Source organism: Homo sapiens, chromosome 1 (genome assembly GCF_000001405.40).
Source record: "Homo sapiens chromosome 1, GRCh38.p14 Primary Assembly".
Taxonomy (NCBI): Eukaryota; Metazoa; Chordata; class Mammalia; order Primates; family Hominidae; genus Homo; species Homo sapiens.
The window spans coordinates 198696417-198711246 of NC_000001.11; the positions used below are offsets into that span (position 1 = coordinate 198696417).

Consider the following 14830-nt stretch of genomic DNA (forward strand, 5'->3'; position numbering starts at 1 on the left):
TTTTTATCTTTAGCTAATGTTCTGTAGCTTGTTTTAGATCTGTGTCTACATATTATATGTATCTCTGTATGCATCAATATTTGTATATATGCATGCATATATGTGTATGTATATTTATGAATACATATACACACCATATACATACACTTATGTATGGTGTGTGCATATGTATGTGTAGATATATGTACATACACACTATAGTGGACTGGGGAGTTAGTATACTGGGAGGAGCATACATTTAGGGTATGATTCACATATTTATTTTGTCCTTCTCCCATTTTCCATTAATTAACAGGATTGACTACAGCAAAGATGCCCAGTGTTCCACTTTCAAGTGACCCCTTACCTACTCACACCACTGCATTCTCACCCGCAAGCACCTTTGAAAGAGAAAATGACTTCTCAGAGACCACAACTTCTCTTAGTCCAGACAATACTTCCACCCAAGTATCCCCGGACTCTTTGGATAATGCTAGTGCTTTTAATACCACAGGTTGGCACACAAAAGTTGTTAACTTAAATATCAGGGAATGTCATTTAGAAAATTCTACAGTTATCAGTACAACTTGTCTTTAAATTATTTGCACAGTTTCTAAGTATGTGATTTTATTCAAGTGCAGAAATTGCAGGAAATTAGTATCTGTGAAATATAGATCGACTGAAGTAATTAATGCATGTTGTTAGGGAGTGGAGAGAGAAAAGAAGGGAAGCAAGATCTCCAAGGACAATCAGGAGGGGAAATTTGTTCTAGTATCCTCTGATCTATACACACTCGCCATGATTCTCCCGCTTGGCTTCCCGCCACCTGGACAGATGAGAATTTCCCTAGTTCAGAGATTATCAGTTCTACTCTCCTTGGAAGGTGTCTTAAATGGGAGTCTTCCCATTTCTTTGTTTCACTCTAGATTCTCTTTATCCAAAAATTGTTGAAGATAGAGAATGTATTATTTTTAAATCCACTCTGAGAATCGACAACCCAATTTTGTTATTTGAGTTTCTTTTAAGAGCATTTGCATCATTGAAAACATTTTTAATTAAGGTTGTGAGTTCTACTGGTAAATTAAAGGCAATGTAGCCATGTTCCCGGGAAAAATCAGATTGATGCAAGAGATATTTTTGCCAAGGAGGGGCACTATGCTCCTTAGAATACTGATATATGTATATGCTCATTTAATGTTTAGCAATAGGTCTGCCAGTGTATTCAGACTCAGATTTACCATCAGTAGAGTGTTCATGCTTTTCTGAAATAATGTGTTATGTTGACTTTTTTGTGGGCAAACAGGTTTATAGACATACTCTGATAAAAGATACTAAGCTATTTGAACTGTTTAACAATGCCATTTATCTTCGTTTGAAAAACAAGCATATATAATACCATCACAGAAATTTTGTTTAGGGTACATCAAAGTATTTTGAGTACCTTACTGATGAAGTTTATTGGATATAGTAAGCAGTTAAATAAATGGTCAGTGCCTTCCTACAGCAAGTACAAGACTGTGTATTTAATCTTCCATTTGTTTCCCTGTCACCATAGCAGAGTAGTAACTAGGACCTGTCTAAACACTGTAAAAATTTGAACACATTGCCCAAAATTTTTACAAAAGGAATGCAAGGATGAAGGTGCTGATGACTAGGTGGAACATCTCATGCTATTTTATTATTTTGTTTATTGCCTGAGTAGTGTCACATTGAGTTTTCCTTTTGAAGGTTCTGTATTTCACGTCACATGCACAAATAAAAACATGCAACATTCTTTTCATTCCCACATTTTTAAAACCTAAAACCACTTAAGCCATAAATTTACAGGTAGAGCAAAGTATGAGAAAGGTTTAAAGTTGAATAGATTGAAAATAAGGATGAATAATTTTAAAATACTGATTTGTTCTAGCAAAATAATACTGATGTTGAAATTACCTTGAAAAGTTCATGCTTTCAAATAAAAACACACTTTCTTTTCTAGAAAATAATCTTTTCATCAGGTGATACTTCAATTATCTATTGGAATAAAGTCTATATGAGTTATTTAATTTATGATTATGATTGATTTATACTGCTGAATGCAGTCAATTTTTTTCATTTACTGATATAATTGGGGGAAAATCCTTTAATCTGCATTTCTAAGAATATTATTACACACTATTCAAAATTGTTCATTTTTGAAAATGGCTACAATGACCATCCATGTGCATAACATTAAATTTAATTATGTAATTTTATTTTATAAAGATAGTTTATGACTATTTCAAAGCATTTTCAATATAGATGGGTATGTGTGTATATATATATTTGTATATACTGTTAAGTATATATAAAGTATATGTATGTGTTGTGTGTATATATTTTAATCCTATGTATACATACATATACATATATACATATAGGATTAAAGTATATAAAATGTATACTTTATATGTACTTAAAAGACACACAATGAAAATACCCTTTAAATTCTGTTCCTTAAAGATACCTTTTTAACCATTGTTGTATATCCTCCAGGCTCTCAACATATGATTTTGTGAGTATGCAAGAGACCGTGTATGTAAGCATGGACATGTGAGATTGTTTCCACATGTTTTCAAACACTAGATATTATCAACCTTTTAAAACTCTGCCAGTATGCTAGTTAGAAATATTTCATGTTGATTTACATTTAAAAAATTGTTCTTAACACTGAACACTTTTTCATATACCTTTTGGCCCTTCTGTATATTAGGTAGATGTCTGTCACATCTCTTGTCCATTTTTAAATTTCTTCTTTTCTTTGTAATTTGTAAGAGATACTAGTACATTGGAAGATTCCTTTCTTATTCTCCCTACAAAGAAATGTCCCATCTGTCAGTTTGTAGAGTTGATGGAGAATTCAGAAAGCTCATAGTGATGTGAAAGTCAATAAAGCCACCTGGAAACACGAATTCTCTATGGCTGCATCCAGCTCAGGAAACCTCCCAAGGCTATGTAAATAGAGGACTCAGGTGCCTGTCACTTTCCAGCCAAGCAAATTTAAATACTGACAGACACATTTTAACAGATTCAGTTACTTCACAGTTTGGTAAACTATAATCGCAATTTGCTCCTTATAACCTCTTAGTAAATTATTCATCTCCAGTGGGGGAAGACTGATGTAATGATCTCACTTTCCTACCTTAGGTGTTTCATCAGTACAGACGCCTCACCTTCCCACGCACGCAGACTCGCAGACGCCCTCTGCTGGAACTGACACGCAGACATTCAGCGGCTCCGCCGCCAATGCAAAACTCAACCCTACCCCAGGCAGCAATGCTATCTCAGGTTTGCGGGTCCTTTAGACTTGTGCAAATATGAAAAGTACATGACGACTACCTGTATTTAAGAATGGTGTGAGGAAATCTAACCACTTATTCAATGTGCAGCTATTGCTAGTTGATGAATTTGGAATTTCAGTCACTCTTAGGAATATGAAACCACAGAACAAATGTCCTTTTAACAGAGATGAAATAATAGTGAGAATTGTGAGACTACAGCAAAAATCTGCTCAGGAGGAAAGAGTTATTCAGAATAGTCTATTTTTTATATATTTCAGGCAATTACCATTCTACAGGGAAAACTTTTTGTTAGAAGTAAGAAATAATATGCATAAATCTTTACTTAAAGACTTTGTACCAACAAACAAAAGGGTGAAGAGTGATTCCTATTATCAGTGAAGGGCAGTGAGAAATTGTAACCACAATGAAACTGTTATTTAAAGAATGAGAAAAAAAGAAAGGAATGGGTTTATTTCCCATTCAAACATTAAGAATCTTTCAGGATGGCATCTCTGTGTTTATAACAACAATGCAGAATATTTCCTCCCTTTTCTTTTCAAAATTAGTGTCCAAATCACTTCTTGGTGTCCTTTTATATGCAAGAAAAACAAGTATGTCTTTTGTCAGATCACAAATCCACACAGTCTCGTATATAATTTCAGTGATCTGAGTGCTTGAAAGTTAAAGATATAAATGGTAGACCTATGTAGCTGGTAGGAACATGGTCTTGCTTTAGGTAGGAATCAAACACATCAAATAGAATAATTATTATTTTGCAGTATTAAAACTGTGCCCTTGGCATAAAAATCATTCCAGGCAATCCACACTCTTTAAACAAGTGGGAGAAGAGCCGCCCTCACCTTCCTCATTCCATCTAGTCCAGCTGCCATGGGAACCACAATAAAAATATTTGGAGCTTTTAGCAAACCCACAGATCCAGAAATAGTGGAGGGGCAGAAACTGTAAAACAACAAAAGGGGACTGACCCCTGGGGCTGGTTGTCACACAGACTAGTCTGCTCTGTCCTGATCAAGGAATTCTTCTTCTCAAAGAAGTGGCTAATTCCACTGATGAAAAATCTATTAGGATTAATCAACCTAATTAAAATTGTAAATGCCGTCCATAACCACCACTGAGAGTACCTACATAACAAGGGAAACGAAGTTTTCAAGTGAGGAGGAGGGAAGGTAGGAAGTTTCGGGAGGTTGAGAGTGGAAGCCTCAAAACAGCTTGGGAGCAGGGTCTGCTAGAGAGGGGAGAACAGATCAAGTGAGTGAGAGGAGTGTGGAAAAGAAGGTGGAAAAAAGCTGATTTCAAAACTCTGCAGAGGGCCAGTTCTATGTCTGAATGAGTTTTTTAAAGGATGAATAAATGAGCTTTCCTCACTCTTCTACATATTCTGCTGGAGCCCTCCTCTGGGGATCCAGAGTGGAAAACCTCATGTTTATGTTGTTTATTCTATTCTATGGTTTAGTTAAATTTCGTGGTTTAGTGGCTTTTGAAGACTGAGCTGAGAACCCATGCTCAATTATTTGGAAGATGCATTTTCAATTCTAATGGAATGTATGTGTGAAATTATAGACTGTACTGCATTTGTAATTGGTAGACACCTGCAAGCTCAAATCAAAGCCATGTTCAGAACGTGCATGCATGTATCACTGCAGAAATACAGACTCTGCCTGCAAATGTGAGACTAATCTCACATCATTGAACTGATGACCCCAGGGATCTTGACAGAAAATAACCCAACAAGCTCTTGAATAGAGGGCAGCTCATATTTCTTTTGCTTTTTCCATGGCAACTAGCATAGTGCTAGTCATCTAGTAGGAACCAAATGAATATACATTGATTGCCTGTGCTGTAATTCTGGATGTGATGTTGGGCAAAGGTGTAAAATACATTAGGTAATTTGAAGCCTGAAAATGGAAAGTTCTAACCTAGTACAATGTGCAGTTTCTTTGGCTACAACACTAGATTCTATACCAATTAGCAACTATGTGATTGAAAAATAAGAGAATGATGCCACTGTAATGTGGAGTTTGTTGGATTTCAAGCCAATTTGATTTTTCCTGGCCAGGGAAGCCTGAATTGTGAAAGTAGAATTGTAACCTTCAGCTGGAAAGGAAGAAAAAGAAAACCTTTGAGCTCATGCTGTGGCCCAGGCAGGATCCCATTCAGCTCTATTTTAAGAAAATTAAAACTGAGCACCTGCACCCAGGGATCCCTCCCCAGAGAGGTGTGTGCCTGCAAGGCTCTCAGCATGTATCAAGTTGCACTTCCTCCTGTGCCAACCTTTTACACTCAGAGCTCTACCTCCATCTACATGGTCTCAGCACCACTAAGACAGCACCAGTCTCTACTGCTTTGATGCATTTTTTATATTGCCTAAGGCAGCCTGCAGCCCAGAGTCTTAGGCTTCTTGGGCTGTCCAAACTATATATTTTTTTAAGTTGTGCTCTGATTATGAAGCTGCATAGGTTTCCAGTTGTCTGCCCCTAAATGCATCTTTCCCATAAGCCCTGGTATTTTTGGTACAGTTCTGTAGAATGCATGTGTCGTGGTATAGCAGAAGTGCTTGAAGATTTGTTTCTCTGCCTTATCTTTAGTAATTGTGTTTATGTTGGCTATCTGGCTATTGCCCTTGCGTGACAGACACAAGTGACAGTGCTGATGGCCCTTCTGATTGCAGATGTCCCAGGAGAGAGGAGTACAGCCAGCACCTTTCCTACAGACCCAGTTTCCCCATTGACAACCACCCTCAGCCTTGCACACCACAGCTCTGCTGCCTTACCTGCACGCACCTCCAACACCACCATCACAGCGAACACCTCAGGTCTGACTATGCTGCTCTAGTAGTGTCTTCAGTTATAGATAATGAAATGGAAACTCAAAACTTTAATGTAGCTCTTTTATTTTGTGCCAGATATTATTTGTAGGTTTCCCATTTTACAAATGTTCACGTATCAACACCAAATTATGCAAAAGAAACTTGCCAGTAAGCTTTTTCTGGGCATATTTTATTTTACTATTAATATTATAAAAGTCCATGGCAAAGAAGAATCAATAATAGGCCTTAATGTCATATAGCTCTGGGATCAAATCCAATTTCTTCAACTTCGTAGCTGATTACAGGGCAAATTACTAATACTTTCTGCATATCAGATTTGCTTTCTGTAAAAATGGACATAATAACACTCCTTTTTTAATTATGTCAAAATAATTAACGTGATGTCTGAATATGTAAAAATCTGGTATGTAATAAATATTTTAAAAGAGTAATTGTGACGCTTATTAGAATCCAAGTATGGAAAGCCGTGAATGAAAGGGAAATGAATAGTCTGAGGAAGATTGCATATCATCAACTAAGAATTATATCAAGGAATGAATAGTTTTCCCTCAATTTATACAATGTTTAGTTTAAATAACTTGAAATAAATCTTTGATTCACTTTATTATTTTAAAAACAAGCGAATGTCAAATCAAACGAGGACTCCTAGAGCAAAGATGCCAATAGGAAATTATCTTTGCTAAAGAGTTTTTCTTTCACCTTTTAATATAACGAATTAATTAGCTTTTATTCTTCTATTCATTTTCTTGCAGATGCCTACCTTAATGCCTCTGAAACAACCACTCTGAGCCCTTCTGGAAGCGCTGTCATTTCAACCACAACAATAGGTGATATTACCCTCAGTCAGGCAGCCACACCATCCCCATGTGCCTGGTGATGTGCTCTCACAAGGGCCTTCCACCCACTCTACCTCGGGCTCCTTTCTTTAAGTTGCATTAAGTGTTTGAATCCTGAGGGTGATGGAACAGCAGGAAGATATTTCTCTGCTTAGCAGTGCAACAGCTGATGAGATCAGGATGTAATTGTTACTGTCATAATTCATCAGAAAGCATGTGTGAGAAACAACCACATCTACTAGAACTTTTTCTCACAGGGGTTTAGGTCTTAGTAAGGAAAAGAACAAGCCCATCAAAGGGGCTGTCCATTGCAAGTGGTGAGCATCAGACGGCTGATGGCAGAGTTCCCGTTAAGCAGTGAGAGGGCGTGGAGATAAAGGAAAGAGAAACTGAGGAATGGCTGCAGCAATGGTGGTATCTGTGAATCAGCAAGTAAGCTGATCAGAGCTTGCAAGCCCACAATTCTCCTCAAATTCTTCCAACCCAAAATCAAGATGAGCAGAGATCTCTTAGCTTACACAAAGCACATGTTCTCCCAATTATTCAACTTAAATGCCTACACTCACACAAGATACTGCTAAATTTGTTGACAGAGCAATTTGTTACCCTGGATCTAGTAGATGTGCAAAGAGCTTACAAAAGTTAATCTAGAGAATGAAGCAGTCTTTGCATTTTCTCTGACTTTTTTTTATGTAAATGAAAAGTATAAACTTCGTACTATGGGGGTTATAATTATATAAATTAACATTGAGATTAATCAAAATATGAAGACCTTTAAAATATTTTTGGCTGTGTGAATCTTCAGCCATGTTGCCATACCGCCAATTAGATGCGTACCTAAAAGTCTTAATATTGTTAATTGTATTTATTGGGTATATTTATGAAAAATTTTATAGAATTAGCTCATTCCTTTATAATGCTTTAAGTTTTGAAATGAAAACCTGTACTAGGCAAATCCTTCATATTCTGTTAAATCTAACTAGATAGACTTTATGAAGTAGAAGTATTGTAAATCAGCTTTCCCAAAAATGACATGGCAGATATTCTAAAGCAAAATTTTAATAATTTACATTTTTTTTCTCCATTACAGCTACTACTCCATCTAAGCCAACATGTGGTAAGTTTATTTACTTAGAATCAGCATACCTCACTTTGGAATAGCACTTTAATTACATCTTTCTTTATTCCAAGCTTTCAGGACCCACTAGTAAGCTAAACTCACTGGCTCTAATTTCTCACCGATGACTAGTCTCAAATTAGTAAAAAATTACTAGCTACACATGGACATAGAGTTGGGAATGATAGACACTGGGAAATACAAGAGCGATGATGGAGGGAGGAAGACAAGGGTTGGGAAACTACCTATATTGGGAACTGTGCCTACTTGCTGGGCGTCGAATTCAATTTTACTGCAAACCTCAGCATCCTGCAATATACCTTTGTAACAAACTTGCACATATAACCCTGGAATCCAAAATAAAAGTTGAAAACTAAGTTTTCCAGTTAGACAACTTTGGTAAAGCCACTTAATTTAATTTAGGTATTTGAAAAAAAAATGGAATAACAGCAAGTTTGTTGGTGAGGGGGAGGGGGACAAGGATTCAGTGTGATGATAAATATAAAATGTGGATAATACCTTCAAAGCTTATCAAGAAGAAAAATCTCTCTTTTTCTCTCTCTTTCTGTCTTGCTTGTTAGGGGCTGGCTCAAAGCAGATACTTGAAAACAGTTTGTCTCTCTTTTTTTTTTTCTCATTTTCTTCCTTGATTCTCAGTTGAAGCAAAGCGGTTCTTCATGGTCAGGGCTTATTCCTCCATTCATTTCTAAGTCTAACCACTGGAGTCACTGCCTTCAGTAGCTTTCCATACATTTAGTGTAAAGAGTGGCCTTCATATGTCTGTTTAATTAATATGATCTTTTGTAATCCGGTTGTCATTCATCTCTCCTCCCGCCTCTTGAATCATTGCCTCCTTATGTTCTTCACTTAAGTAATATGGAACCACTTTCAGTTTTCTTTTCTTTCTTTCTTTCATTCGTTAGTTCTTTCTTTCTTTTTTTTTTTTTTTTCTCACTCTGTTGCCCGGGCTGGAGTGCAGTGGTACAATCTCAGCTTACTGCAACCTCTGCCTCCTGGGTTCAAGTGATTCTCCTGCCTCAGCCTCCCAAGTAGCTGGGACTATAGGCACATGCCACCGAGCCCAGCTGATTTTTGTATTTTTAGTAGAGATTGGGATTCACCATGTTGCCCACGCTGGTCTTGAACTCCTGACCTCAGGTGATCAACCTGACTCGGCCTTCCAAAATGCTAGGATTACAGGCATGATCCACCACGCCTGGCCCACTTACAGATTTGTAAACACATACTGTTCCTTCCTGCCTCTGTGGCCACTCCTGCTCTTCCTCTACAATTGGAATTCTGCTCCAACCTCATCCCCCAAACCCCATGTCTATTTTTCTATTTCCTGCTCATATTTTAAAACACAAACTAAGTCACTTTCTCTGGAAATCCTGTCCTATACCTCCAAATGGAACAGATCTCTCTCTTTCTAGTGCCACATTATTTCCTGCATAATCTTATTTTAGAGGTTTGTATGTCTCCTGCAATTCATGCTTGTGTCTGCCTCCACACTGGATTATACATTTCTAAAAGCTGATTATATCTAACTTGCCTTTGAATTCCTAGTATTGGTGACCATGTCTTACATATGACAAGGGCTTAATAATTTTTGTTGAATAAAAACAAATGAATAAATTTATATTTGTTGTAAAGATATTTTTATCAGTCAGCAGAAATTGTTGACACTAAACAAAGGTGCTTTGGAGGTATATTATCAATCATAATTTTACCCAAGTTAAGGAAAGAATGAGGGCTTCTGATCCCTGAGTAATTAATGCCCCACATATATCAAGAAACAGGTGGTTAATAACTACGTTTTAGAAAACAAGAAAATTATAAAGCAAGAATAAATTTCTCAAATGCATCATTTATTTGTGCATCAAGTCAACAAGTAACTAGTGAGTTCCCATTAATGATACATATTATGCATACTCCTGAATTTACAGTGATAATAAAAATAGCCTAGACTTTGCTCTCATGGAAGTTCCAAGTCCAGCTAGGAAGACAGACACTTATCTGGTAATCATCCAAATATAAATTTACAAGCTGAGGTCCTTGTTAGGGCAGTAAAGCACAGATAATTACGAAAAAAATGATATGGAGGCACCTAATGTGTTTTTTCTTTTTCATGTTTTTTGGGGATATTTGGTTAGTTGATTTGATATTTTGGCATTTGCATTAATGTAGTTTTATTTATTCTGGAAAAATAACACTCAATGTTCTATTTTCTTTTAGATGAAAAATATGCAAACATCACTGTGGATTACTTATATAACAAGGAAACTAAATTATTTACAGCAAAGCTAAATGTTAATGAGAATGTGGAATGTGGAAACAATACTTGCACAAACAATGAGGTGCATAACCTTACAGAATGTAAAAATGCGTCTGTTTCCATATCTCATAATTCATGTACTGCTCCTGATAAGACATTAATATTAGATGTGCCACCAGGTAAATATCAATTTATTTCTTTTAATAAATTTATAAAAACAGTACACTTTTGTGTGTGGTGTTCTCCAGTGGTCACAGGAGCTAGTCTGGTGAGAGAACAGGGCTGAGGGAAAGGAAATTCCTTGGAAACAAGTGGGTGAACTTTCTGCTGTCTTAACCAAGTAAAAATGATAGAGTCAAATAAGCCTTCTGTTTACATCCATTAATCACCACTTCTACTTATTTAACAGGGAGATGTTTATGTGCACTAAATATAGTTTATCCTGCTAAGTGATTGTCTGCAAGCTTTCTTTATTCTCCTCTACTTAAATGAAGTATTAATTATATATGTACATATATTTATTCTTTTAAGTACAAATTTATCTGAAATATATTAGGGAGAAACATAAAGGATTTGATGTGTATGGGAAGAACCAAAATACATTCATAAAAAGGAAGGTTATGGTCATGTTAGTGAGATCAAGTTGGTTTTGTCAGCTAAGCTACTGCTTGGAAAGAGGAGGGGGTGACAGGCGTCGGGCAGACTCTGGGGAAGCATCTCTTAGCCAAATGCATTCTGGAAAAGGGATTCCAGAGCCGTGTAATTTTTTTAAAAAGTCATATCATTTAATAATTCAAGACTATTAATAAATTTGTTAACATTTAAATATGTTAACATCAAATGTATTTTGAAAATAAAATCCATTTAATTTATTCATTTTCCCTAAATATTACTGAGATAAATTACCAATTAAACACAGAAGATGACAATACTTAAAAATGCATTTCCCAATAGGGAAACTCCCAATACACTTTATAATAATCATTCAATTAAAAGTAAGTAAAGAGTAAACAAAAAATTTAAGATAAAAACAAAAATACAAAATGGAATGAGTGTTTTTTAAAATGTGCGAAAGCTACAATTTTATCAATATGTTTGCTTGCATTTCATTTTTTAACGTGGTATAACTTATAAATGAAACACTACCAAAATATATGGTGCTAAAAATAATAAAGTAAATAATAAAAGAAACAAATCCCTAGAGTTATTAGACTTTTCCCATAGCAATCTCAATCCTTGCCAAATTCTATGTCATTAGCATAATTTCAGTGGCTTTAACTGACATGTTAGGAATGAATGAGGGCTTAGGATACACATTATGAAATACTAATCAAGTTTATTTCTGTATCTTCTTGTCAGGGGTTGAAAAGTTTCAGTTACATGATTGTACACAAGTTGAAAAAGCAGATACTACTATTTGTTTAAAATGGAAAAATATTGAAACCTTTACTTGTGATACACAGAATATTACCTACAGATTTCAGTGTGGTAAGAATATAACATTGACCAGAGAATTTTTTTTTGTGGCACAATGTTGTTCTAGATATTATTTAATCTTACTCTCTGCCCTTTCTCTCTTCCTCCCTGCCTCTCTTGTTCTCCCTCTGTTTGTCTTTTTTCTTTCTTGTCTTTTTCTTGGTCTGTGGTATATTTAGAGTCAAATAATTAAATTACCTATACAATTCAAACAAATTCACAAAATAAATGAATACTTTTCATGAAAAATAAATATCTAAAAATTGAAAGTCAATTAATTTACAATAATTTTCTTGGCAATTGTTATACACAGGCATTGTTGAAGAGATCATGAAAGAAGGGTGTTATAAGGAAATGATAATACACAAACTCTGTTATGAAGTAAGGAAAAAAAATACAGGATTGTATGGTTCAAGAGTTTACTTTTTCCATCCTGCATCAACAAAATTCATACACAAGTTCAAGAACACTTAAATAAGAAGAAAGCAGAAAAAGAACAGCAAGTGCATCTAGGGATATGTTTGGATTTGAATTGAGGCAACTAATAATTGAGATAGTATTTTTAAAGTGTATTTGAATTTAATGAGGTGAACTCTCCCACCCTTTGACTTAAAGCCATCTGCCAGGCCATAGCTGGCATGACAGACAGATGTGCTCAGGTGTGCATGCGCATGCACGCATATCCACAGCTACACACATAGAGGATGGAGCATTGCGCTGGGTGTAATCATCACCTAATCACCATAGTATAGATTCATGGCCATCAGGCAAGCAGACAAGGAAAGGAAGAGCAATCATGACAGACCAATGATAAAATGTTCTCTCTAGACAATCTATTAGATGAAGACTAGGTGAGGTGCAATTTCAACTTTAAGTTGTATTTGCTATATACAGATTGGGCATCCCTAATCTGAAAATCCAGAATCCAAAATGTTCTCAGAATCCAGTACTTTTTGAGTGCCAACATGATGCGGCTCAAACAAGTGAAAAATTTTACACGTGACCTAAAGTGACTGGTCATAGTCAAAATGCAGAAACATAACACAGAATTTAGTCAGCATCCCCAGAGAAAAATAAATGACCTCAAGCTATGTATATGAGGTATATATGAAACATAAATGAATTTTGCATTTGAACTTGTGTCCTCTTCCCAATATATTGTATCATCTAAATGCAAATATTCCAAAATCTGAAAAAAAAAACTAAATCCAAAACACTTCTGGTGCCAGGAATTTTGAATAAGGGAAACTCAGCCTGTATTTTCATAAAAGTTGAATGTAAAAATTATTTTTAGGGTTTTTTATTATTTTGGTAATTTCCACAGATGTTTCAATCTGATAAATATTAAATAGAGAATTATAAATGTGAAATTAGAAAATAAATGTGTGCGTGAAATATTGCATCGATATATTCATTCGAAATATTTCTTTATTTCAGGTAATATGATATTTGATAATAAAGAAATTAAATTAGAAAACCTTGAACCCGAACATGAGTATAAGTGTGACTCAGAAATACTCTATAATAACCACAAGTTTACTAACGCAAGTAAAATTATTAAAACAGATTTTGGGAGTGAGTATGTTACTTGCATTTATATGTAAAATTGCTTCTCTCTTCATGTTCTTATAATTATTTGAGAATCATAGGAAATGAATTGTCTTTTTGCTGTTTTTGATACTTTTTAAGCATATGCTTTTTATTTCAATGAAGCGCAATTTATCTATTTTTACTTCTTTTGCTTATGTTTTTGGTGTCGTATATGAAAGTCCATTGCCAAGTCATGCAGATTTATCCATATGTTTTGTTCTAAAAATTTTATAGCATTGGCTCTTAAATTTAGCTCTGTTACCCACTTTGAGTTAATATTTGTATATGGTGTGAGGTAACAGTCTAATTTCATTTTGTTGCATATGGCCATCTAATTTTTCCAGCGCCATTTGCTGAAAATACTATTTATTCCCCCACTGAATAGTCTTGCCATTCTTATCAAAAATTAGTTGACCATAATGATGGGTTTATTTCTGAACTTTCAGTTTTATTTTATTGATTTATATGTCATACTTACACTGTCGATTACTGCTGCTTTGTAGTAAATTTTGAAACTGGAAACTGTAAGTTCCCCCAAATTGTTACTTTTCCTCAAGATTGTTTAGAATATCTAAGGGAACTTGGAATTCTGTATGAATTTTAGGATCAACTTTTCAATTTTTATAAAGAAGCCATCTGGGATTCTTTCAGGGATTGCATTGAATCTGTGGATAAATTTGGGAAATATTGCCATCTTAACCATGTTAGTCTTCCAGTTCATGAACACAAGATATCTTTCCATTAATTTATGTCTTCTTTAATTTATTTTCAAAATGTTTTGTAGTTTTCAGTGCATTAGTGTTATAATTCTTCTGTTAAATTTATTTCTAGTTTAAGTTTATTCCTGGTTATAATGCTGTTGTTTTCTTAATCACATTTTCAGGTTTGTTACTAATGTACAAAAGTACAATTGATTTTTCTGTATTGATCTTGCAGTCTGTCACATTACTGAATTTGTTTATTAATGATAATATTGAGAAATTTTTGACAAAACTTATAAATGTAATTCTAAATTTTGTTTTGTTTTGATTTTGAGACGGAGTCTCGCTCTGTTGCCCAGGCTGGAGTGCAGTGGCGTGATCTCGGCTCACTGCAACCTCTGACTCCTGGGTTCAAGCAATTCTCCTGCCTCGGCCTCCCAAGTAGCTGGGACTACAGGTGCGTGCCACCACGCCCTGCTAATTTTCTGTATTTTTAGTAGAGATCAATCTCCTGACCTCATGATCCGCCCACCTTGGCCTCCCAAAGTGCTGGAATTACAGGCATGAGCCACCATGCCCGGCCCGTGATTCTAAGTTTTATGTAAAAAGGATAGTTGAAGGCTAAAGAGGCTGCCTAAATCCTTGTCTCCTCATACTTCTCCAAAATAATATATAGCTACAAGAACAGCAAATAAAACTATGTAAA

General features: G+C 35.3%; 1 protein-coding gene across 9 annotated transcripts in view, besides 1 other annotated feature; it reads left to right on the forward strand.

Annotated features, from left to right (window-relative positions):
- Positions 1-14830, forward strand: part of PTPRC (protein tyrosine phosphatase receptor type C) — a 118764-nt gene that overhangs the window by 57704 nt on the left and 46230 nt on the right. For 2 of the 9 annotated variants that reach the window (XM_047426381.1, NM_002838.5), the window contains exons 4-11: positions 296-493; positions 3148-3288; positions 5971-6114; positions 6882-6956; positions 8056-8082; positions 10318-10536; positions 11717-11845; positions 13271-13408. In XM_047426381.1, the coding sequence (XP_047282337.1) occupies positions 296-493; positions 3148-3288; positions 5971-6114; positions 6882-6956; positions 8056-8082; positions 10318-10536; positions 11717-11845; positions 13271-13408 (1071 nt within the window). The remainder of the gene's footprint in view (positions 1-295; positions 494-3147; positions 3289-5970; positions 6115-6881; positions 6957-8055; positions 8083-10317; positions 10537-11716; positions 11846-13270; positions 13409-14830) is intronic. The other 7 variants (XM_047426398.1, XM_006711473.4, XM_047426409.1 and 4 more) reach the window with 4 other exon arrangements.
- Positions 5170-5719: an enhancer, noted in NCBI's record as "OCT4-NANOG hESC enhancer chr1:198670715-198671264 (GRCh37/hg19 assembly coordinates)". NCBI's record gives its function as "activates a minimal SCP1, AML or CMV promoter by ChIP-STARR-seq in primed H9 embryonic stem cells {active_cell/tissue: H9 hESC(primed)}" and the evidence as "EXISTENCE:reporter gene assay evidence [ECO:0000049][PMID:30033119]".